Below are 23020 nucleotides of genomic sequence, written 5' to 3'. Positions count from 1 at the left end.
TCTGTGTAATAAAGGAATCTGCTTACACATGATTTCATAAGTGAGGGGAGGGAAAAGAGAGCACCTTTTAGTTTGGAATGAAAATGAATACATTTTCTTCAAGGACCTAATGCTGCTTACAGTTTAACTTGCTCATGTGGAAAGTGTTCAAGAAATCCAAAATTATCCAGGGGAAAGTTACATTCAGTATCAAATATAATGCTTTGTTCTTTTAATGTCTAATTCATAGGGTAACCAGCAGTGAGAACATGGCTCCATACATTGGGAATGGTAAAGAATGAGGGAGAAAAAGTACATTTTTTGTAATTTGTCCTTCTATGTAATGTGATTCATCCAACAGGTCTGATAGGGTTTTTCATTGCTTTTGGCATCGCTATGGGGAAGATGGGAGATCAGGCCAAGCTGATGGTGGATTTCTTCAACATTTTGAATGAGATTGTAATGAAGTTAGTGATCATGATCATGTGGTAAGTGGCCTTGTTCTTACTTCTTAGCAGTGGGTTGAGAAAGCCTTGGGGTCCCCAGAGGATACTGGAGCTCTCCCTGCAGGAAAAAGTTGGCATGGGCTGATCAAATGTCTTTCCAGAAAGACTTTGAGAAAGGGATGAAAATATCTTTTTTGGAGCTTCCCCTAGAACAAGTGTAGACAAATTATGCCCCTTGGGCCAAATCTAACCTACTCTCTCTTTTATATGGCCAGCGAGTTGAGAATGGGTTGTATATTTTTATGTAACTGTCTTAGTTGGGTTGCCATAACAAAATACCAAAGACTGAGTGGCTTAGAAACAACAGAAATTTCTTTCTTATGGTTCTGGAGGCTGGAAGTTCAAGATCAGGGTGCCAGTATGGTTGGGTCTGATAAGGGGCCTTTTCCAGGTTGCAGACCAACTTCTCATTGTATCCACAGTTAGAAAGATATTTATTTATTTTTATTTGAATTTTATTCTATTGTAATTTTTTTGAGACAGGGTCTGACTCTATCACCCAGACTGGAGTGCAGTGGTGTGATCATGGCTCATCGCAGGCTCGGCCTCCCTCACTGTAGCTCAAGTGATCCTCCCACCTCAGCCCCTCAAGTAGCTGGAACTACAGGTGCACACTACCATGCCCAGCTAATTTTTGAAAATTTTTTATAGAGACGAGGATTTCACTATATTACCCAGGCTGATCTCAAACTTCTGGGCTCAAGTGATCTTCCCACCTAGGCCTCCCAAAGTGCTGGGATTATAGGCATGAGCCACCTCGCTCAGCATGAAAAGAGATTCAGAAAGCTCTCTGGGGTCTCTTTTACACAGTCATTGTCTTTCCATCTATTATAACAAAATACCTTAGACTGGGTAATTTATAAACAATAGGAATTTATTGCTCACCCTTCTGGAGGCTGGCAAGTCCAAGATCAAGGTACTAGCAGATTTGGTATCTGTGGAGGGCCTATTCCTCGTAGTTGGCACCTTTGTGTGTGCTCTCACATGGTAGAAAGGGAAAACAGGCTCCCTCGAGCATCTTTTATTAAGAGCACTAATTCCATTGAAGAGGGCACAGCCCTCATCACCTAATCATCTCCCAGATGGTTCACCTCTTAACACCACTGCCCTGGGAATTAAGTTTCAACATAAGAATTTGGGGGACATATGAATTCAACTTATGAATTGCAGTTTTTGCCATTACTTTCAATGGGAAAAACCACAGTTACTTTTGCACCAACCTAATAATTAACTTGCCTAAGATGATTATAGCTAGGGAGAGGAAGAGCTGTAGTTCATATTGGTATCAAAACCCTTGATGCATAAGCAGGTAGGTTTTTTGGTTTGGATCGTCTAAGCAATATTGTTTCCCCTTTATTTCACATGTGTTTATAGTCAGTGACTCTGAAATCTAGGGGAGCCTAGGAGAGCATGAGTATCTATTCTCTCATTGTGGAAGCTCTGTCATCTTCAATCATTGGAAACTTTTGGTGTCCCATATCCATCAGACAGAAAGCTTTTTACTTGCATTTGTTTCAGATCTCTAGGATGGTCCTGTATGTCTGCCTAGAAAAAAATAAAACCACTCTTAGACCAAGTCATACCTGTGTTCTCTTTTCCACAGGAATTCTGGGTTACCTATTCCCCATCTCTGCATGTTCCAGGCCTACCCACCTTCTTTGCCAAACTTCTTCTGATCCTTTTCCACTTTTCTGTAGGTGTCTTTCGTGGAAATTCCAGCTGCTTTTTCTCTTCCTCCTTTTCTTGTCTCCCACCCCACCTCACAAGGGCAAAAATCTGTTCTTTTTTATCTCCACAGAACCAAACATGGTGATGTGCCTGTAGTCAATTGTTACTAAAACTTTAGGAACGAGTGGGATAGCTGATAACTCCAAGATTTCAGATCAAGAAGATGCTCCTCACTATTTCATGAACCATATTTAACAGACCTGGCTTGTTCAGATCATTGTTTTACGGTGCTTTTAAAACACAGAAAGGATGCTAGTGAAATAACATCATGTTCTCTTTTATGATTGTACTGAACCCTCAGCTTCTCAGGCAATGCTAGATTTCTGGATATTTCTGTTGTATGAAGATTTGGGAATATGGTGGTGTTGTAAAATATATATATATATATGTATATATATATACACACACACACACACACAGAGAGAGAGAGAGAGAGAGACAAAGACTCGCCCTGTTGCCAGGCTGGAGTGCAATGGCACGATCTCAGCTCACTGCAACCTCCGCCTCCCGGGTTCAAGTGATTTTTCTGCCTCAGCCTTCCAAGTAGCTGGGATTACAGGTGTGCACCACCATGCCCGGCTAATTTTTTGTATCTTTAGTAGAGATAGGGTTTCACCATGTTGGCCAGGCTGGTCTTGAATTCCTGACCTTATGATCCGCCTGCCTTGGCCTCCCAAAGTACTGGGATTACAGGCATGAGCCACCGCATCCAAATGTAAAACATATTTTTTAAGTCCTTCAGATTCATCTGAGTCTGTTGAGACTTTAGTACACAATGCAGAATAAGTCTCTTGCTTAAACATTAGGATTTTCCATTGTTTCCTAGAATTTCTAGCAGATTACGCATCTTTACGCCAAACATGCAGCCCGTATTTCTGTAATATGATGCCAATAACATGGGCAATGTATGTGTCCTTCCTATGTCCATACCAATGTGATTTCCACTAAACCCTTGCAGGAAAGGGAATCTTCTAGGACATCAGATGAGTCTGTGGGATGAAGTGTAGCCTCCCTTCTCCCCAGAGATGGAGGGTGGTGGTATGAATTAAGAAGTTTCCCATTCACTGAAACCAGAACTCCTAAATACTTATTATCATCTTGGGAGGTAAAAAGTGGTTGTGAGGCAGGAATAAGACCTTAGAATGATTTCTGACAGCTGTTTGGTTACCTCATCTAGGCTCATAGTCAGGACAATGTCACATGACATGAGATGCCAATTCTACACATTTCTTTAATTCTTTCACTGCCTCGTCAGCATCAGTATTTGCTAATGATGTGTGTAAAAAGGTTCTGGATAAAACAGTCAACTACTCTTTAACTGACCCCTCAAAGCTTAAAAAAATCAGAATTCTTTTGTATTCTTTTCTATGTAGCAGTTATAATAGTAATAATAGCAGAATGTAACATTGAAAAGATTATAATAATTCTTTTTATTATTAAATTATAAATTAGAATTACTAACTTCTTGCTGTATGCTCAGTACTATTTCGGTTACAGTACAGGTACTAACCCATTTATTACTGAGGAAACAATTATTATTAAATAACTTAAATTTACCAAATTCCTGCTAAATACTTAATATTATTCCAATTGTTTTACATGCATTAGCTCATTTATTCTTCACAATAGTACTGAACAAAAATAGGTGCTTTTGTTAACCCATTTACCAAATGAGAAAACTAAGCACAGAGGTTGACTTGCCCAGTGTTATGGAGCTGTACGGAAGTGATACCTACATCAATTTCTTTTTGACTTCAGACTGGATTGAATCCAGGATCCTCCTATTGCAAGTTGTGTGACTTTAGGCAATTTAGACACTCTAAGCCCCGATATTCTGGTGTGTAAAATGGGATAATTCTAGAATCCAGGCCATAGGTTGCTGTGAGAATTAAGGCTGTGACCAACAGTCATGAAGCACCTTCTTTGTGCTGGGAACTGTCTAAGCACTTTACATGGATTAGTATTATAGTAATAGCTGTTTGCTGTTACCAATATTATCATCAATTCAATCCATATCCTTTGTATCTCTGTGTTCATGAATTCTTTAAGAAACCTGAAAACCCCTTAATTTTTGTATGATTTTCGTATCCTCATTTTCTTAGGTAGTTATTTAAAACATTTTTTTCAAAATTTGAAAAACTTAAACAGAAAGTAAAATGTTTCATAATCTCACCCCTATAAAAACATAAAGTGAGAAGTAAAATCTCTGCCTACTCTTCCAATTCCTTTTTCCAATAAACCACCATCCATCCACACTGTTAAATAAAAAACTATTCAATGACACGTGTTAAAACACAGTAAGGCAGATTTTATTCAGGATCATTGCAATGAGCACAGGGACCACAGCAACGGGATTTTGGAGTGGGGGAGAGAGATTGGGCTCACTTGCAAGTACAACATGGGTAAGTGGGAATTTATAGCCATGGAGCAAGGTGGGGGCAGTGGATGCTCGGGGGTAAGGAGTATTTTGGCTAAACCAACCCCACAGGATTCTAGCTGAAGGCCACAGGGTGACCAAACATCGTCCAGGAGAGGATGAAGAACCTGATCAGATTTGAGGGTGATCAGATTTTGAGGATGGAGGTTCTTGCTAACCTGACTTAGATGAGTTTTTTGCTAAACCGGATTTTATAAGGAAGGTTTAGCAAAGAGCCCAGAAGAGGCCAGAAGAAGGTTCAGACGCCTAACTGAAGTTTGGTCAAACAAAGAATCTTTGTCAATCCATCCATTTTTTTTTTCATTCAATAAATATTCTATTCTGTGCAGGCAATGATTTTAGGTACTGGTGAGATAATGGTGAATAAGACAGAGAAAGGTTCTGGCCCTTGTGGAGCTTACATTCTAGGAAAGGGAGAGAGGGAAAGCCAAAAGGGAGCAAATGGTAGCAAATTGTCTTTGTAGCACTTATTATTAATTCGAATAGTAATAAGTGCCGTGCAATAGCGAGAGATAGTGATGGGGGTAGAAGTGATGGCCCACGTGGTGCTGTCTGGAAAGGTGACCTTTAATGAAGACCTGCAGAGTGAGCCAAGCAACCTGGTGAAGAACTGAGGGGAGAATATTCCAAGAGGAAGAAGTGGCAGGGAAAGCCTTTTGAGGGTCAGAACAAAGGTCTAGAGAGGCTGCAGTGTGGTTGGTGAAAGGGGGCAAAAGGAAGTCAAGTTGGAGAGGTGGGCAGGAGGCAGATCCTCCAGGGTCCTGCAGGCCACCTTGATGGGTTGGAATTTCATTTCCTTGCAAAAGGAAGTCTCTGGAGGAATAATAAACCTGGAGGCTATACTAACTGCTTTTCACTCTGTCTTGATGAAAAGTTCTAATCCACAAATGGTAACTTTTAACAAAAATCACTCTTTGGGTAGCTGGAACTCCTATCCCTAAATGGATTGGGAAAGATGAAGATTTGTGATACTTTCTGAGCACAGACAGCACCTTTCAGCAACTCTTGGAATGTGTGTTTAGGTCTATTGACAAGCTATTGGAAACGTGTGGGACAGAACCAGAGGTGCTCCACAGCAGGGCTGAGAAAGTCCCTCAGCTTACCTCCACTCCAAGTGTCTGTCTCATCATCTGTCCCAGGCCTGAAAGTCCCAAATGAATTATTCCAGTGAGTTAAGACCTCAAAGATCCTGAAGTAGTTGGAGCTAAGGTAAATGGTTTCCAGAAGGTCACCAAGTAATATCTGCGTTTCATCAGTTGCAGTTAAGATTTTTGTTTCTTGAAATACTGGTTTTCAAACAGATCAGAATTACCTGGGGAGCTTGTTTAAAATATAAATGCCCCAAGGCCAGCTCCAGGACATTCTGACTCCATAGGTATGTGGTAAGCCCAGGGAATCCAGGTAAGCTCAGGTAAGCCCAGGGTAAGCCAGGGAATTGTTAACAGGAAGCTGGTGGTTTCTGGCACCTGGACACCGACTGAATTCTAGGTAGCTTGCCTGCTGTAGATGAGTGTGTTTGTGGAGCCCTGTGAGGGGCATCTTAGGCTGGCAAGGGCTGAAAGACAAAGTAGGTGGAGGCTAGAATGGATACAGTAGTAAGAAAAAGACTCCACAGGCCAGTCCTGGATGAATCTGTGGCCCTGAAAACAGAGAACAGGAACAGCCTAAGAACAGCATGGGAGCCATTCCCTCTCCCCAGGCTCTCCAGCCATGTCCTTCTCATGTGGAAAATGGACCAACAATCACTGGGCATTATTTGGCTTCAGAACTCTCCGTGGAGCCCTCAGCCTCTTTATGCACTTTGATTTGTGGTTTTGATTGCTGGCTTCATCTCAGAAGCTTTGAGTGGTGGCCTTGGGTGCTGGGCATTTGCCCATCCTTTTCCATGGAATGTTATTTTCAATTAGGTAATTCATTGATATGGAAACCCAGGAACCCAGAAGTCCCAGTTTCGGAGTGAAGGCCTAAGTTGTTTGTTTTAAAAATGGGTGCAGTTGGTCGGCCACACCTATAATCCTAGTGCTCTGGGAGGCTGATGTGGGAGGTTTGCTTGAGGCTAGGAATTTGAGACCAGCTGAGCAAAATAGTGAGACCTCCTACAAAAATAAAAATAAACAAAAATTAGCTGAGAATGGTGGCAAACACCTGTAGTCTTAGCTACTCAGGAGGCTGAGGTGAAAGGATTGCTTGAGCCCAGGAGGTCAAGGTTACAGCAAGCAATGATGGTGCCACTGAGCTCCAGCCTGGCTAACAGAGCAAGACTCTGTCTCAAAATATAAAAATAAAATAAAAAATAAATAAAATAAAAATAGGCACAAGAAAGTAATGGCCCTGAAAGACTTCATAGAACAAACGTTCTTACCTTCTTCTACTTAATGCTCATCCTATTCCCAGAGATCAAGGTGTTTGGATTAGCAAGGGCTTCTTCTTGCCATATTTATAAACCCTAACACTTCACTTTCTGGCCTTTGATTAACACTCTCCATTTACAATGGGAGCTCATGCTTTTCTCAGCTGGCTAAGTGCCCCAGAGGTAAACTGTTACCTCTCTCTAGTCCATCTGTCTGTGGCCCAAATGCATTCTCCAGGAGACTCTATAGCTAGTCTTTTTTTGGCAAAGAGCCTTGAAAGCATTTTCTCTCCATTCTACAAATTGCTCGTCCCAGGAGAGAAGGAAAATTGAATGGCACCCCAAACAGCTTATATTTGTATTTTTCTGGACATCTTTAAAGGGTGCTTGGTGCTTGGGAAAGAATTGATCTCTTGTTTTATGAAGATAAATGCTTTTTGGCTTTATAGGAAGGTTCATTCTGCTTATTTACAGTCTCAATGAATGAAGTGCTGGTCCCTGAGACTACCTTGATAATTTATAAGATGTGACTATGGACACACCAGCAGAATATAAAATGGCGGGAGAGCTAAGGGTTTAATGACATGAGCACAGGTTTGTCTCAGACTCCCTAATGTCTAGGGAAGCAGTCCTCAGACTTGACCAGCCTGCACCCCACGGAAAGGAAAAGTAGGACCTTCAGGCTAGATTCTCATATGGGAAGAGAGCAGCTATGCTAATGTTAGTTTAACTAATTTGTGTCAGTTACAGATCAGTTCCTTCAGGATTAGGTTCCTCTTGAGAGAATATGTTGCTATAAAATCATCTTGCAATTGGGTATCCCATGAGATGTTCTAGAAAGCATCACTAACTCAGGCTTACTAAGCATGAGTGATGAGAGGACATGGGGTACATGTGTGAAAACAGAACCTACAAGGAATGCCTTTGTCGGGACTCAGAGAATTAATGGTACTGACAGAGATGCGAGAGGGGTTTTTAGCAGCACACATATATGCATGCTCAAAAATTTAATCCCCACAGCATCTCCATGAGGTTGGAGTTAGCCGCTCTGAGCCTTGACATACATATCTGTAAAATGGGAATAAGCCACTAACCATGGTCACATATTAATAACTAATAAGTGGTGAGACGAGCTCCATGTCTTATGTAGTATTCATATATATGTGTCTCATCTACTCTTCACATTTTTTCTTTAATCCAGGAAAGTGTTTGCTCCAGGCACAATTGCAAGTCTGTATAGATCTTACAATTACAGCATCCTTTCCTGACTCCCTGACCCCTGCTGGAAGCCTTATCTAGGGACTTCATTCTCCCCATAGTCTTTCTCTCAAGTATGTTCATAATTTTTAATAAGGTAGCAGCCTTCCCATAAATATTTTCATATCAGCCAGAAACTGTCACAGGCTGAACAAATTCATGCCCTAACAACACCATTCTGGATAATAAAGGATTTTACCAAATATGGGAAGAATATATTCAGGTTGAGAGAGAAAATAGCTTTCCCAAGAGTGAGGACCAAAGTAGTTTCCAAACTCTCTATAAATTAATAATAAGATAGAACTATAACATCAGTTTATATAAGATAAATTGGTATACGACAAACTGCTTATCTACAAAGAGCTGTGATTATTCACTAAAAAGAAGTGGCTTGTCTTGGTTGGGAAAATCCCCCAGTTGGGAGTTTCACAGACCTGAGATTGTTTTCATTTCCTGGTTTCCTGGTCTTGGGCTGATTATTTAGCTTTTCTTAACCTCAGTTTCTTTATTTGCCACGTTGCAATAATGACACCTAGATTTTCGGGTTGTGGTAAGCATTAAGTGAGGGAATGGGTGTGCAGCTCTCACCATAGTGCTTAAAACAAAATGAAAGTAGCCAGCATTATTGTTAGAATAAGTATGGAAAAAAGACTTTCAGACTTAGAAGTCATAAAACCACTTTTCTCTAAATGTACATTTTGGCTCAGATGATTTCCTTGTTCTCTCTCTCTCTCTCTCTGTCTCTCTCTCATTTCAATATATTCCCTATCTTCCTAGGTAAGAACAATGCAAATTTACAAATTCCAGTTTATAGTTTTCTAAAAAGCTCAAATTCCCAAATTTCTAGGAAGGAACTGAGGAACACAAATCAAACAAGATTCCCAGAGACACACCTGGGTCTCTCAACTTTGAACTTGATGGTAAAGATAAAGATGGCAATGCATGTCTCTCCTTTATTCCTAGAACTCACCTTAGCCACAAAATTTGCCTTTGGACTTTTCATCAGAGCAGGCGCCACCAGATCCACAAAACAGATTTTGGTTAAGGGAAGTGGTCCAAAGTAAAAAATAACATGAACTTTTCTCAGCAAAAGTCTTTTTTTGTACAGAAGAGCCAAGCGTTTTCCTCAGTGTGCGGTACAGAGGAGGCCCAGGTTCTGAATCCCTAATGATCTCTTCAATGCTGTTTTTCCCTTTTGTGTTTTTCAGGTACTCTCCCCTGGGTATCGCCTGCCTGATCTGTGGAAAGATCATTGCAATCAAGGACTTAGAAGTGGTTGCTAGGCAACTGGGGATGTACATGGTAACAGTGATCATAGGCCTCATCATCCACGGGGGCATCTTTCTCCCCTTGATTTACTTTGTAGTGACCAGGAAAAACCCCTTCTCCTTTTTTGCTGGCATTTTCCAAGCTTGGATCACTGCCCTGGGCACCGCTTCCAGGTAGAGAACAAAAGAAATCACCTTTCTCTTTGCTCACTCTTTTGCCCTCTTTGCCATTTCTCATTTCTCAAAACCCTCCCATCACAAAGTTCAATAAGAACACTTGGCACACATTACTAAGATCTTTTGGAAAAGGCGAATGATTTGAATTTTTGTCTCCTTCTAGGAACTTCTGAGCCTTCTGGTGAACATTTTTGCTGGTTTGCAACTATATTGGAAATACGATCTCACATTAAATTTTTCAGATAAATGCATGCTATTTGTTTGCATGCCTAATTTGCCACTTAAATCATTAGTTTAGTTTTAGATGTTTTCTAAAGGGAGTGTAACAGGATATTTTTCAATAAACATTTCACCTGTGATTTGGAAAATGCTATCACAAAATATTACTCTTTGAAGATTTTGGTAAATACATTTTCAAAAGTAGGAGAAGCAGCTTTTACAAAGTAAATGGTATGTTAGGTGAGACTTTTTCTAACAAAATTCGGCCAAGTCTTTGACCTCGACACGAACCTCTAATGGATTATTTTTCCCCAGAGTTAACTTGGCATTGATGAAGAATCAGTTCCCCCTTTGTTACTTAGTTCCAGTACCTAGAAAGCCAAAGAGGACCCCAGAGATATGTAGAGAAAAATCATTTTTTGGACTATCATCTTGGACTGAATCTAACAAAAACAAACCAAAAAATGAACAAGAAGAAATACATAAGAAACGTCTTACAATTAGGCTGGGCGCAGTAGCTCATGCTTGTAATCCCAGCACTTTGGGAGGCCTCGGCAGGCGGATCACTTGAAGTCAGGAGTTCGAGGCCAGCCTGGCTAACATGGTGAAACCCTGTCTCTACTAAAAATACAAAAATTAGCCAGGTGCGGTGGGGGGCGCCTATAATCCCAGCTATTCGGTAGTCTGTGGCAGGAGAATTGCTTGAACCTAGGAGGCAGAGGTTGCAGTGAGCTGAGATTGCATCACTGCACTCTAGTCTGGGTGACAAAGTGAGGCTCCATCTGAAAAAAAAAAAGAAAGAAAGAAAGAAATGCCTTACAATTGAGAATTTTTAAGACTAGTGTTTTACTTTCAGCTTGCAATCATTGTTTTATTTCTGCACATATGTCCTTGGGTCACAAAACTAAGACTGAATCATAAAACAGGTGGCAGGGAGGCAAGCAAATTCTGAAACCCATAGCTCATCATTCAGGTCCTTGTTGCAGAACCTGTGCCCATGCAATGCTAGGGAGGTGCCACTGCATGACGCAGCAGGGCCTGTTGCTCCACGGCTACTGAGCAGTCAGTCAGGTTTCCCTTAAGCGACCTAACAGACCAATAATGCCAACCACCTGGGAAGCCAAATAAAACTTCCATCTTGCAAATCAATGAGGATTCAGTGCTAGTAGAAAATGGAGTTTCAGACAAAGCTGGAATATATACAATCTTAAGGGTCTAGATTCTTTACCCAGTTTCCGAAGATGAAGGAAAACACTTCAAAATTTCCTTCTTGATTTATAAATTTTCCATGACTAAGTATCTCTATCCATACAGATCTTCACTTGAAGAAAAAGAGAAAAAAAAAAAAACCCAACCTGGTTTAATTTTATTTTTGTTTTCTGGTTATAAGCCTGGTATCTCATACTTTATCTCATACCAGGCTCATAACCAGAAAACAAAAATAAAATAAAATTTCTGCAGGCTCAATGTGAAAAAGTTCAGGCAGTGAATACAATTTTGAAGAAGAAAATGAGCTTTGCCAATTATTCTATCACCCAGTGATAACTGGTCATAACCTTTTAATTAGTCTTTAGTTATATATCTTTCAAGTTCTTACTATGTATGTATATATTGTTTTATAAATAGTTATTTTTTTACTGGTCAACGTATCATAAAAGTTGTATCTATTGCAATAGACTTTACTACCATTTTTTAAACTGCATAATAATGCACTGTATGTACTACAATGCAAACCCCACCCTGTCCTAGCCACAGTGATGTATATTTAAGGCATGTCTATTAAACAGGGCTGTGACAAACATCCTTACAAATACATCTCTGCAAGGTTGTATGATGATCCCCTCAGGATAAGTGGAATTTCAGAGTCAAATGGTATGCACATTGACAGTTTTGAAGCACATTACCAGATTGCTATTCAGAAAAATGTATTATTTTATGTTCCCATTAACTGGGGTTTGAGGGTGTGCCCATCCCTGCTTGCTTACCAGCTCTGGATATTGCCAGTCACTTTAATGCTTTCCAGTCCTATTGGGTGAAAAGTAATCTCATGGGATATGCATATCTTTACTTCTCCTTCCCCTCCCCTTTCGCCTGCCTTGTGAATTGTTCATGAACTTGGTCATTTTCCTGTTGAGGTATTCGTCCCTTCCTGATTGATTTTCAAGCTCTCTTTTTGTATAAGAATATTAGCTCATGTGTCACAAGTTGCAAATAATCCTCCTCTTCACTTGACATTTGTCTTAAAAATTTACTGTGCTTTTTGCCTCTAGAAGTTTTAAATTTGTACTTAGTCAAAGCTATCAATACTTTTCTTTAGAATTTAGAATTTAGATTTTGCTTAGGAATAGCTTCTCCAAGTTAATACAATATGACTTTTTATTTTCTTCCAATACCTTTATGGTTTAGATCTTTCAACTATTTCAAAAATATTAGTATTATTTTCTTTTGAATGACTAGAACATTATTTCAGTAACTTTATAAGACAAGGTGAATCTTAAGGGGATTTGCATGGCCCAAATTTGTATTTAAATCAGAGACAAATGCTCAGATTATCCAACCAAGGCTGCTAATATTAGACCAATTTCTTCCCCTAACTCTGTATTTCATTTGAAAAAAAAAAAGTGGTTTTAATCTTTAGTTAAAATGTGGTTTTTGCCTGGATGTGGAATTTCTTTTTTTAAAAGGCCATGTGGCGTGAGTCATGTACCGAGAATTAACTGAAGGTTTCTTTGCCATCATGGTCACAGAGAAGAAAAAAAAAAATGTAAAACCCAGGGACAGCCCACAAAATATCCTTCCTGCCTCCTCGGCCCTTGTACAGAATAAAGACGTTGAGGGTAGTTGAACATCTTTTCTCAATGGTTCCAGAGGCTGGTGTCAGGGAGGACAGAGGGAGTGGGGTGGCCTGAGACTGACCTGTCTTCAGCCCTCCAACTTCAGTGCAGTCTGTTAAAACTAATACTTAAAAAACAAAAGAAGCATTTCAAATATCTGACAGTTATTATTAGCAACATTTGAAGGCTGTCATATGGCCATTGAGGCAGGAACCAAAAAAGCAATGTCAGCATGTCAGCCCATCCACACAGGAAAGCTTGAAATTAAAATTCTCAAGTCCTAGTTTGATTGGGTGGGTGGGTTTTTTAAGACAAAAAGCCTGTCCAGTAGAGAAATAGAGGATATTTTTATACTTACCAATCATTTTTCCCAGTCGACTTAATTGTCCAAAGACCATTTGATGACATTTTGGAAAAATAAATGCAATAATAAACATAAATGTATGCCAGCAATTCCTAGTTTGATTGGGTGGGTGGGTTTTTTAAGACAAAAAGCCTGTCCAGTAGAGAAATAGAGGATATTTTTATACTTACCAATCATTTTTCCCAGTCGACTTAATTGTCCAAAGACCATTTGATGACATTTTGGAAAAATGAATGCAATAATAAACATAAATGTATGCCAGCAATTCCAGAAGTATCCTTAGATTTGAGAATGCTTGCAATCGAGAATCCTGGCCACCAACCACAACTGAGCAGTCATCTCATACCAGTCCTGGTGTCCTGGCAACCCTTCGAAAGGGCCCAGGAAAGGGTGGGGTAAGAGGAAGAAAGGGACACTGACTTCTCATTAAGATAGCAAGCTAGGTCTGATGCCATCCCCTGCATGCAAATGAGGCCAGGCTCCAACTTTGCCCTGGGTTTGCAAGATTTTAGTTATGAGATGTCCCCCAACAAACAATTCTTCTTCCTACCCCAGACCAAGAAGGAGGCATGAGACAGACCCCTGACTTGAAATCACAAAGAATGTTCTGGTAAGAGAAATCTGGCTCTCCTAAGGTTGTTTTAGGAGCTCGTGGGCCAGTGGTTTGATAAGATGCACATCTCGCATCCCTAGTTTTAGGGCTTCTGATTCGTTGGTTCTGGATAGGCCCTGGAATCTTCATTTCATTTAGCTTCCCTGGAGCAGATGGTCTTCTCCCACTCTTTGAGAAACTAAGACCTCTACAGGGATCTATGTCCAGTTTGGTCACTAATTCTGACCAGTAGAAGGAGGAAACTTTGACAAAAGCTGTAAGTGCAAGAGAGAAAACACCTCCAAATGTTATCTGCATTGCAGGTTTTCTAATTCACTTTGCTAAAGTTTGAATAGAAAAAAATCAAGAGGATGGACCATGAAGCACTTCCATGGCAGTTTGAGTGTTCTGCATTGCTTTCTACATTACTTAAACTTTGCAGCAAATCCACTCACCCTCCCAGGCACTTCTATCCACATGGAAATAATATTCTGGCCTTTAGCAACCCTTACTGTTTATTGGTCTCCAATTTTGAAGACATATGAACGTGTCAGGAATTCTGGCCTTCGAGGCTTGGTCATGTGGTCACGAATCCACATCCCAGGCCTGGGAGGAGTGGGGGTGAAGTCCCTTCATATTTAGTCTTTGATTTGCTAATGAGCACATGCTTTCCTGCTCCATGTCATTGAAGTGACTGTAGAATTGGCCGATGAGCATATATCAGGGTGTTGGACTATCTGTGAGGTTCCCCAGTGAATTGCTTGAAGCTCAGGTTCATGCTGAAGTGTGCTGGACATGTTTGTTGTTATGGAAATTAGCAAGTCCAGCTCAGGACAATTTCCCAGGGCTAAATGCAATCCATTCAGTCATTTTATCGGAAACAGCATTTCTAGCATGAAATTATGGGTTATTCAAAAATTCCTCATCCCATTTTGCTGTTGATAGCTGATTCTTTTCTGACATAGCTGGCTTTTGTTTTTTTTTTTTTGCAACCCAATTAATATGGGCAATCAGATGCACTTCAATATCGAATCCAAGGTGGAAACAGTGGCCAAAAGAAAAAATCTTCAAGCTCTGAGTATATCTCCAAAACCAGAACCAATGAAAATATTTTGCTGCCTATTAGTGTCTTAATAAGATTGAATTTGAGCCTCCAACTCACGAGTTTTTAATCTGGCTCCAGATACTGCTTTTTTGCATGTCACATTGCTTGATTGACACAAAACAAGAAAAACTAAGGATGCAGTGGCATTCCAGTTTATGCATTGTCCTGCTTCTCTAAAGTGGACATAACCCTGTCTCTCTCTTTCTCTTTGTTCTCAGTGCTGGAACTTTGCCTGTCACCTTTCGTTGCCTGGAAGAAAATCTGGGGATTGATAAGCGTGTGACTAGATTCGTCCTTCCTGTTGGAGCAACCATTAACATGGATGGTACAGCCCTTTATGAAGCGGTAGCCGCCATCTTTATAGCCCAAATGAATGGTGTTGTCCTGGATGGAGGACAGATTGTGACTGTAAGGTGAGAAGGGTGGGGTAAAACACAAAACAACCTCTACCCTGTTTCCCCTCCACACTAACTCCATGTGACAGAGGCCACTTGAATTTCATTTCTGCTGGTGGAAGACAATGAAGGTAATAAAAAAAGAGAAACTATTGGCAGCCTTCAAAAGGAAAAGATTGTGACAAGAAAGAAGACTCTTATTAATACCTCCTGTTTGTATTGCACATGTCAACTTGCTTTAGAAATTGGATATTATTTGATTTTTAGCAATCCTGTGATGGAAGCAGGGTAATTTCTTTGCCCATTTAATAGACAAAGAAACTCAGGCACCAAGAGGCATGGTAGTTTGTCCATGGCTACAGCATGGCTGTAAGTGAGGCCAACATCAGTAATGATTTGGCAGGACTGTAACTGAGGCCAACATCAGCTGACTCTGGATCCAATTTTTGTTTCACTGAAATATGCTCCCTTCAATATTCCATCACCAGAGGGTAATGGCAGAAATTACAAAATACTGGAAGAGATTCCTCAATATGACATATAAGATTTTATTACAAATAAATAGCACATAGTTTTGTTTTTACTAAAGCTATTTTTATTTAAATGTATTCATCATTTTAAAAATTCAGAAAGAACATTTTCCTAAGAGATTGTTAAAAATGCATTGCCTCACCATAAACTTAAAGATCACACCTACTAGCCAAGCCAACACTCTGTTTCTTGCTTATAGGTTAAGTCATTGAAAATATCAGTCTTCAGCCCATTCAATGTTATATTGACATTACAGCATGAAATAAAGCTTTTTGCAATCATCTTTTTAATATTATCACTCCCAACCCATCTAAATGCTTCAATTAAGCCAGAAGCCAATTTCTGCCTTATGTCATATCCCTACTCTCAGTCTCAATTTCCTCATCTATAAATAAGGAAGGTATTCATAATTTGGGGCTAAAAGTTGGTAGTTCATGGATGGACTCCCAGCCCAGAGTGTTGCTTTGTTTGCCTTGAAATATATTGTAAAAGATTAGAATTTCATCCTCTTATGAGACAGCTGCCCTTCAGTTTCCCACAGTCTCCCCTGCTCCCTATTACTTATGCCTGGCCTGCTGCACCTGTCACCACAGCTTAGCCCTTTAAGACAACGGAGTTTGTCAATCTTGGACTCAACAATTTATAAGTTTTATTTCCCCTCTCAGATTCTATGTGATCAGAAAACATAGGGAGTAAGTGGGTAACATTCTGTGTGACAGATGTACTTGTAGTAGAAAGAGAATTCCAGATATTAGAACAGCCAAGGCCTGGGTGATTCACTTTAGGAAATGAATGAGGTAGACACTGGAATACACTTTCATCCTCCATGATGATAATCACTCCACTCTTTGGTTCCTCTGAGATGGCGGACTCTTTCCATACATTGCTTTGAACATGACCAGCAGTCCTGAAGAGAAGGAATAGTCATTATTCCCATTTTACAGAGGAGGCATGTGAGGCTCAAAGAAATTATCTGACAAACCTAGGTCTCATGGCTATGGGTGCCAGAGGCACAAGTCAAATTTCTATTCCACAGTTTACCTCTTCCAACCACAGGTCATTTCTTCTTTCTGACTGTGACTCAAAAAAAGACATTAGAATAGTGTTTTTATTGACTTTTTCCATTGGGCATTAGAAGGGGCAATAGTTTTTGGGTTCAGGCTAAGGCACTAGCCTCTTTCTCCCACTTCAAACCCCGGGCAGCACTGTCAATCTCTATATTAGAAACTTTGGTAATAATCTGGTGTCTGCTTGGTTCATGTTATTCAACAGCCCATTCTCTGGTAGGCCTTTAGTGGGCTAAGGCCATTTTAGGAGATCTCTCCTAAGAGGCAGTGTTCATTTGGGTCTGATGTCTCTACATGCTCAGGCTTTTTAAAAGTCCAAGCTCAGGGACCACCCAGTGTCTGTAGCAGTGCTGGAAATTTGCTCTAATCATGTCCTCTATGTGTTCTAGGGGCTGATATTGCCATGGAATGGCCACTTCAGAGCCTTTGCTTGATCTATCTAGCTCTGAGGTATTCAACCAGCTCAAGGACATTTTTGTTAAAACACAGCTTTCTCCTCTCTCCTTCTAACCATTCCAGAAGATTTAGTGAATATCCCATATGCATCTGAGTTCACTTTAGCAACTCAGTCAGCAAATAGAGAAAAGAAAAAATTCACCATGTTTAATACACACACACACACACACACACACAATATGAAAACATGAAATAACAATCACATTTATTTAATCAGCTAGAATGTATCATCTGAAATGTCTCCCAGTGGTTCTCTTGCTAAATTATCTCACCTTATACATAGATAAGGAAACAGAGGCTCAGAGAATAGATCACACACAGCCGTCTAGAGGAACAACTATAATTTAAGTTTCCAAATGCTGGCATATGCTTCCATTTATTTAACTTGTGATCCTAGAAACAGCCCTACAAAGTAGATATTGGGTTCTATATTTTACAGATGGAGAAAATGAGGCACAGTAAGTTGAGGTAACTGGGCCAGAATCATGCTGTTTGTAACAGGCAGAAATGGGATTTGAACCCAGGCCACCTTACTCTGGGGTTTGTGTTTTTAACCATTACACACACTGCCTCCACTATACTATACTGTTGGGTTGCAAAATAATAATTTATATATATATATATATATATATAATAAAATCTTCACAACCACCCTATGAATTATATACTATAAGGGAGCCTCAGTTTCCTCATCTGCGTAATGGGAACAATAACAAATTCTAGGGTGGCTGAGAACATGGTGCCTGGCTTATAGTCTCTTATGAGTATGAGCCAGGCACCAGTCAATAAATGTTAGCTTCTATTATTATTATTGATGTCTAATAAAATACACAATACTCCTAGAATATTAAAGAAAAATGTGGCTGTGACATCATGAGTACCATGATGTTACTGACAATGGAAAATATACTTCAGGTCAGAAGATCAAGCCTTTCAAAATTATGTCCTAACAGATATCACGAGACTACTAACCTCCCTTGCTTTAAAACTCAAAGATGAAAAGGGCTTCTTAAGCAAGTCTTTTGCCAAGCAAAGGTAATTTCTGGTATCTCGACTCTTGGTCTTGATGGTAACCATATTTTCCATTAAGTTCCCACTATTAGATGGGAACTTACAGATGGGAGAATGGACCAGTGAGTGATTGAATTTGTGCTTAAATTCTATAAATTTATCTACACAGGGTTTGTTTTATATTAACTGATACTACTGAGCATTTTCACTTGACAAAAGATGAGTTTGACCATATGCATTTAAATCTCTGGCCCCTGGGTGGGTTCAGTCAAATCCTCCTAAATTGTAGACACCACAAGGGCTACCTCTGGGGCACCCACCACGGGTGTATATACTTCATGCCTGCAGTTTGTTTGGAGGAAAATAGCCAAATCTATCTTCAGGCTGCGCTTCCAAGTAAAATTTTCATTTCTCTCCTTTCACTGCATGTAGGAAAATAGTGATTAGAAATTCTTAGCATTTTTATTAATTCATAGAATTTTCAGTGTAGGGAGGGATCAAGGCCATCAAGGACAAGTGTGGCATTGAAATCAAGCAGACCAGTGTTCAAATCCCAGCAGACCATGTTCAAGCTGTGTGACCTAAGTTTCTCCACCCATCCTATCTGTGTTTTCCTCACGGTGAAAGCAGGTGTTACCATATATGTCCCTTGCAGGGTTACTGTGAGGTTCTGCTCTGATATTGTGTGTCTAGTATCTTAACAGCTTCCAGGAACCCTAGAGAAGTGAGCCAGGGGAGTGGAAGGCCAGGCAAAGCAGAAGGCAATGAGGGATGCAGGGAAAATCACTGCCCAAGAAGCTCTTGCAGGGCTTAGAATTCCACACACAGAGACAGTGCCTACCGGAGGGTGAGGGTATTATTAGGGACAAGAGGGGAAAGCAACTTCCAGGAAGAATTATCTTTCTAAGACTTTGTCTCACACAACCAAAGGATAACCAGATAATGTTAATGTTAACCACAGTGCAAAGGGATGTGCAAGAGTGACTCAGAGCAACTGATGCTGTGTATAAAACAGTCAAGGTCAAGACTGTTGGAACTTGGGGAGTTCCCCTTCCCTGGTGTTCTGTCTGTTTGGGAAACAGTTGAGAATTCCCATCTTCCAGCTTTCAGGGCTTTAGGGAAGTTTTCATTGCAAAGCAGCCTGGTCCTGTCCAGATTTCTTGATAAGAAAAACAATTCACATTCACTGGGCATGGTGGGGGTGGGGGAGTTGCAATGTGCCCAGCCTCTTGTAAGTGCATTTTAATTTATTAGCTCCTGAAAGCTTCTGACCACCCCATGAGAGAGATACCATTACTATCTCCTTTTTACAGATGAGGAAGTCAAGGCACAGGGAGGTTAAGTTGCCTGTAGTCATGTGGTTAAGTGGCAGAGCTGGAATTTGAACTCAGGTTGTTCAACTGCAGAACTTTCACGGCTGAGCACTCCACACTGTACCTCCTGTGACCCAGATGGATTCAAGGAAATTGGAGTGCTCTGAGCCTTGACACCATGGACGGGGAGGGGAAGGGTGTGGTTGGGGGGTCTGTAGATCACACCCAGGGCAAGTGTCTATGCAAGGATGGGCCTAAACCTGGGAATGATGGCAATAGGGGAAAAAACAGCTCAAACCACAGGCTCTCCAGGGGCCTTAATCTTCCAAACGTAAGATTAGGTATATTCAGCAATAAGACCCCAGGATTCTGTGCTTGGTCAACTGATGGCCTGGATTTAGTTGAAACAATTTGAGAGGCTGCCTCTCAGCTCATAAAATTTCTAGTATTTTATAACTACAAAGAAAGCAGTCCCCCTTACCTTTTGGCACCCACAAAAACAACTTGGGAATCCATATTTCCAAAGTACTCTTGGATATTTTGATATGACATTTTGATATGACAGCTTTGTACAAATGGCATCTAGAAAAGAGGAAAAAGAGTCACTGCCCTTTGCCAGACCACAGAGACTCCCTGGTGTCAGGACAGGGCACTTGAACTCCAGATTAACCCTCTCCCAGAGACAAACTTCAAAATGGTGCTGGGTGTGGCCCTGGCATTGCTTGGAAAGAACTGATGAGATGCTTCAGAAAGAAAGCCTTCCTTTCTTTCATTATCATTTCTTGGCATCCCCTTTCTGAATAATGTATTTTCCAGCCCATGGTGAGGCATCCAGGCGCCTGACGCTTAGTGTCATTTGGAATCTGTTGATTTGTTTCCCTGATGTCCAACTCAGTTGGGTCTGGATATTTGCTATTCTGAGTTCTCATGTTAACCTTGGCAATGGCCTTCTTAGACCCTTGCCACATAGTCCAAAAGCCTCTGGTGCTCACAGAGACATAAAAGCGTAAGCAGAAATGAATGCAGTTGTGTTCCCATGGGAGGATTAAGGGTGATTTGTTTTTATCTTTAATATTTCCTTGCCTGCTTTTAGAGCCACGCTTGCCTTATTTGAGCCCTGTGATATATTAGACTAACCGGATAGCATCATGGGAATAAGGCTCCAGTCCATGAATTTATAAGCTTACATCATAGTTGAGCAGTACCCAAATAGGCCTTAATCCTTAATTCCTTGGTCTTAGTACTTTAGATTTCTCTATTCCTTGGTGGAGAGTATGGGGTGGGGGTTGGGGGATGAATTTTATGGCTGCAGGAAAATTAGAGCTTAAAATTGCCAGGGTTGGTTTTGCTAAGATTCTTTCCATTTCCATGACCTGAACTTCTCTGTTCTCATAGCCTCACAGCCACCCTGGCAAGCGTCGGCGCGGCCAGTATCCCCAGTGCCGGGCTGGTCACCATGCTCCTCATTCTGACAGCCGTGGGCCTGCCAACAGAGGACATCAGCCTGCTGGTGGCTGTGGACTGGCTGCTGTAAGTGTCTGTGGATGGGGTTCTGCTGGGACTGTGAGTACTGCCTCCTAGGGATGCACAGGTGGCAAGGTTGCAACCAAGATCTTAGCTAATCCCCATGGCAACTCCCTCACTCTTCCTTCCTCCTTCCCGCTCACATTTACTGAGGACCTATTTGAGAACCAAAGAAGAAAAAGATGAAATATTTGAAGGCGTCACAGTCTAGTGGAGGAATCAGAGAGATTATGACACAAGGTTAAAAGTACAGTAATAAGGAACCAGCTACTGATGCATTCAAAGAATCTCAGAACATTATATTGAATGAATAGAGCCAGAAACAAAGGAGTATGTACTGTATGATTCCATTTATATGAAGCTCTAAGAAAAGACGATGTACCACATATCAATAGAAAGAGATCAGTTGGGGCTGGGTGCGGTGGCTCATGCCTGTAATCCCAGCACTTGTGGAGGCCGAGGCAGGTGGATCATCTGAGGTTAGGAGTTCAAGACCAGCCTGGCCAACATGGTGAGACCCCATCTCTACTAAAAATACAAAAAATTAGCTGGGCGTGGTGGCATGTGCCTATAATCCCAACTACTCAAGAGGCGGAGGCAGGAGAATTGCTTAAACTCGGGAGGCGGAGGTCGCAGTGAGCTGAGACTGTGCCACTGCCCTCTAGCCTAGGGGACAGAGTGCGACTCTGCCTAAGAAAAAAAAAGAAAAAAGAAAGAGATTAGTGGTTTCTTGGGCCAGGTATAGGGGGATAGAGATTAACTGGGAAGGAACACAAGGAAACCTTTGGGAGTGACAGAAATGTTCCATATGCACAGGTATGCACAGGTGTCTACATTTGTCAAAACTCTTCAAAACACACACTTAAAATGGGTACGTTTTGTTGTATGTAAATTATGCTTCAGTAAAGTGATTAAAACACAGCACACACATAAAAGCATAGTGATAGAGAGAGGCCTTCATCCCAGTCAAGAATGGAAGGACAGAGCGGAGAATATCAAGAAACATGAAAGTGGTTACTGAATTTGAGTGTTCACTAGGTTCCAGCTACTAGACTGAGCACTTTACATCTTCCTCTTTAACAACCTTGAAAGTTAAATGTTATTATTCCCACTTTATAGATGAGGACACTGAGGTTTATAGAGGTAAAGAGACTTAGAAATGGACAGATATTCGACCCTAGGTCAGGCTGCCTCTGGAGCCTGACAAATTCTTGTTTATGGTCACATTCAAGCTTCTAAAGGCAGTGGTAGCTGAGCTGAATCATAACCAATAGGTAAAAGTTTCTCAGGTGTATGTAGGGAGACGGGGAGACAGGACATTCCAGTCAAGGCCAGCCTGCACAAAGGCACTGAGGCTACCAGCAGTGTGAGGATGTACAAGTGGTCTGGTACTCTTGGAGGCAGGGCGTGGTGAAAGGTGAGCAAGACGGACATCCTCAAAGGCCATGCAGAGAAACTTGAACTTGACCATGTATGGTAGTTCAGCTACCTTTCCCAGTGAAGGACATTTTCCTCATGTAGAATACTCACTGCCCATTCACAAAGGTGGGAAAGTCTAACCAGATGGTCTTCGACAAGGGGGTTGGAATGGATCCCCTCTAAGTGCCCACTTGGGCTTGGATGTTCTGTGAGATGTAATCTGATGCCTCCTGTCCAGCACTGGAGTTAAATGATAGGGCCTCCGGCAATGCCAGTCTTCAATGTCAGAGGCACAGAGTGACAAGTGCTGGCCCAGAGTCCCAAGGCCAAAGTGCCCACACTTATTTTTCAAACTGCCTGACTTGCCAGTAGCAAATTTTCTGACATTTATTGGCATTGATTTTAAGAGCCAGAAACCACATTTTTCTTTTTTTTCAGATGGAGTCTTGCTCTGTTGCCCAGGATGGAGTGCAGTGGTGCGATCTTGG

The 23020-nt window shown here is 41.0% G+C and overlaps 1 protein-coding gene and 1 long non-coding RNA gene across 16 annotated transcripts in view, besides 1 other annotated feature; one reads left to right on the top strand and one right to left on the bottom strand.

The window, feature by feature from the left end:
* Window positions 1-23020, top strand: part of SLC1A2 (solute carrier family 1 member 2) — a 169303-nt gene that overhangs the window by 118522 nt on the left and 27761 nt on the right. For 13 of the 15 annotated variants that reach the window (XM_047427443.1, NM_001439342.1, NM_001195728.3 and 10 more), the window contains 4 exons: window positions 341-467; window positions 9466-9699; window positions 15035-15229; window positions 20985-21119. In XM_047427443.1, the coding sequence (XP_047283399.1) occupies window positions 341-467; window positions 9466-9699; window positions 15035-15229; window positions 20985-21119 (691 nt within the window). The remainder of the gene's footprint in view (window positions 1-340; window positions 468-9465; window positions 9700-15034; window positions 15230-20984; window positions 21120-23020) is intronic. The other 2 variants (NM_001439343.1, XM_047427441.1) reach the window with 1 other exon arrangement.
* Window positions 6079-6580: an enhancer, noted in NCBI's record as "NANOG hESC enhancer chr11:35316953-35317454 (GRCh37/hg19 assembly coordinates)". NCBI's record gives its function as "activates a minimal SCP1, AML or CMV promoter by ChIP-STARR-seq in naive H9 embryonic stem cells {active_cell/tissue: H9 hESC(naive)}" and the evidence as "EXISTENCE:reporter gene assay evidence [ECO:0000049][PMID:30033119]".
* On the bottom strand, window positions 15784-20174 carry SLC1A2-AS1 (SLC1A2 antisense RNA 1). Its single transcript, XR_001748185.2, has 2 exons — window positions 20071-20174; window positions 15784-16649 (listed from the first exon to the last, which is right to left on the bottom strand). It is a non-coding gene; the product is annotated as an SLC1A2 antisense RNA 1 (long non-coding RNA).

The sequence above is a fragment of the Homo sapiens genome, chromosome 11, assembly GCF_000001405.40.
Source record: "Homo sapiens chromosome 11, GRCh38.p14 Primary Assembly".
In the NCBI taxonomy this organism is placed as follows: Eukaryota; Metazoa; Chordata; class Mammalia; order Primates; family Hominidae; genus Homo; species Homo sapiens.
Note: the sequence above shows the minus strand (reverse complement) of the source record. Positions and strands in the feature narration are given on the sequence as shown.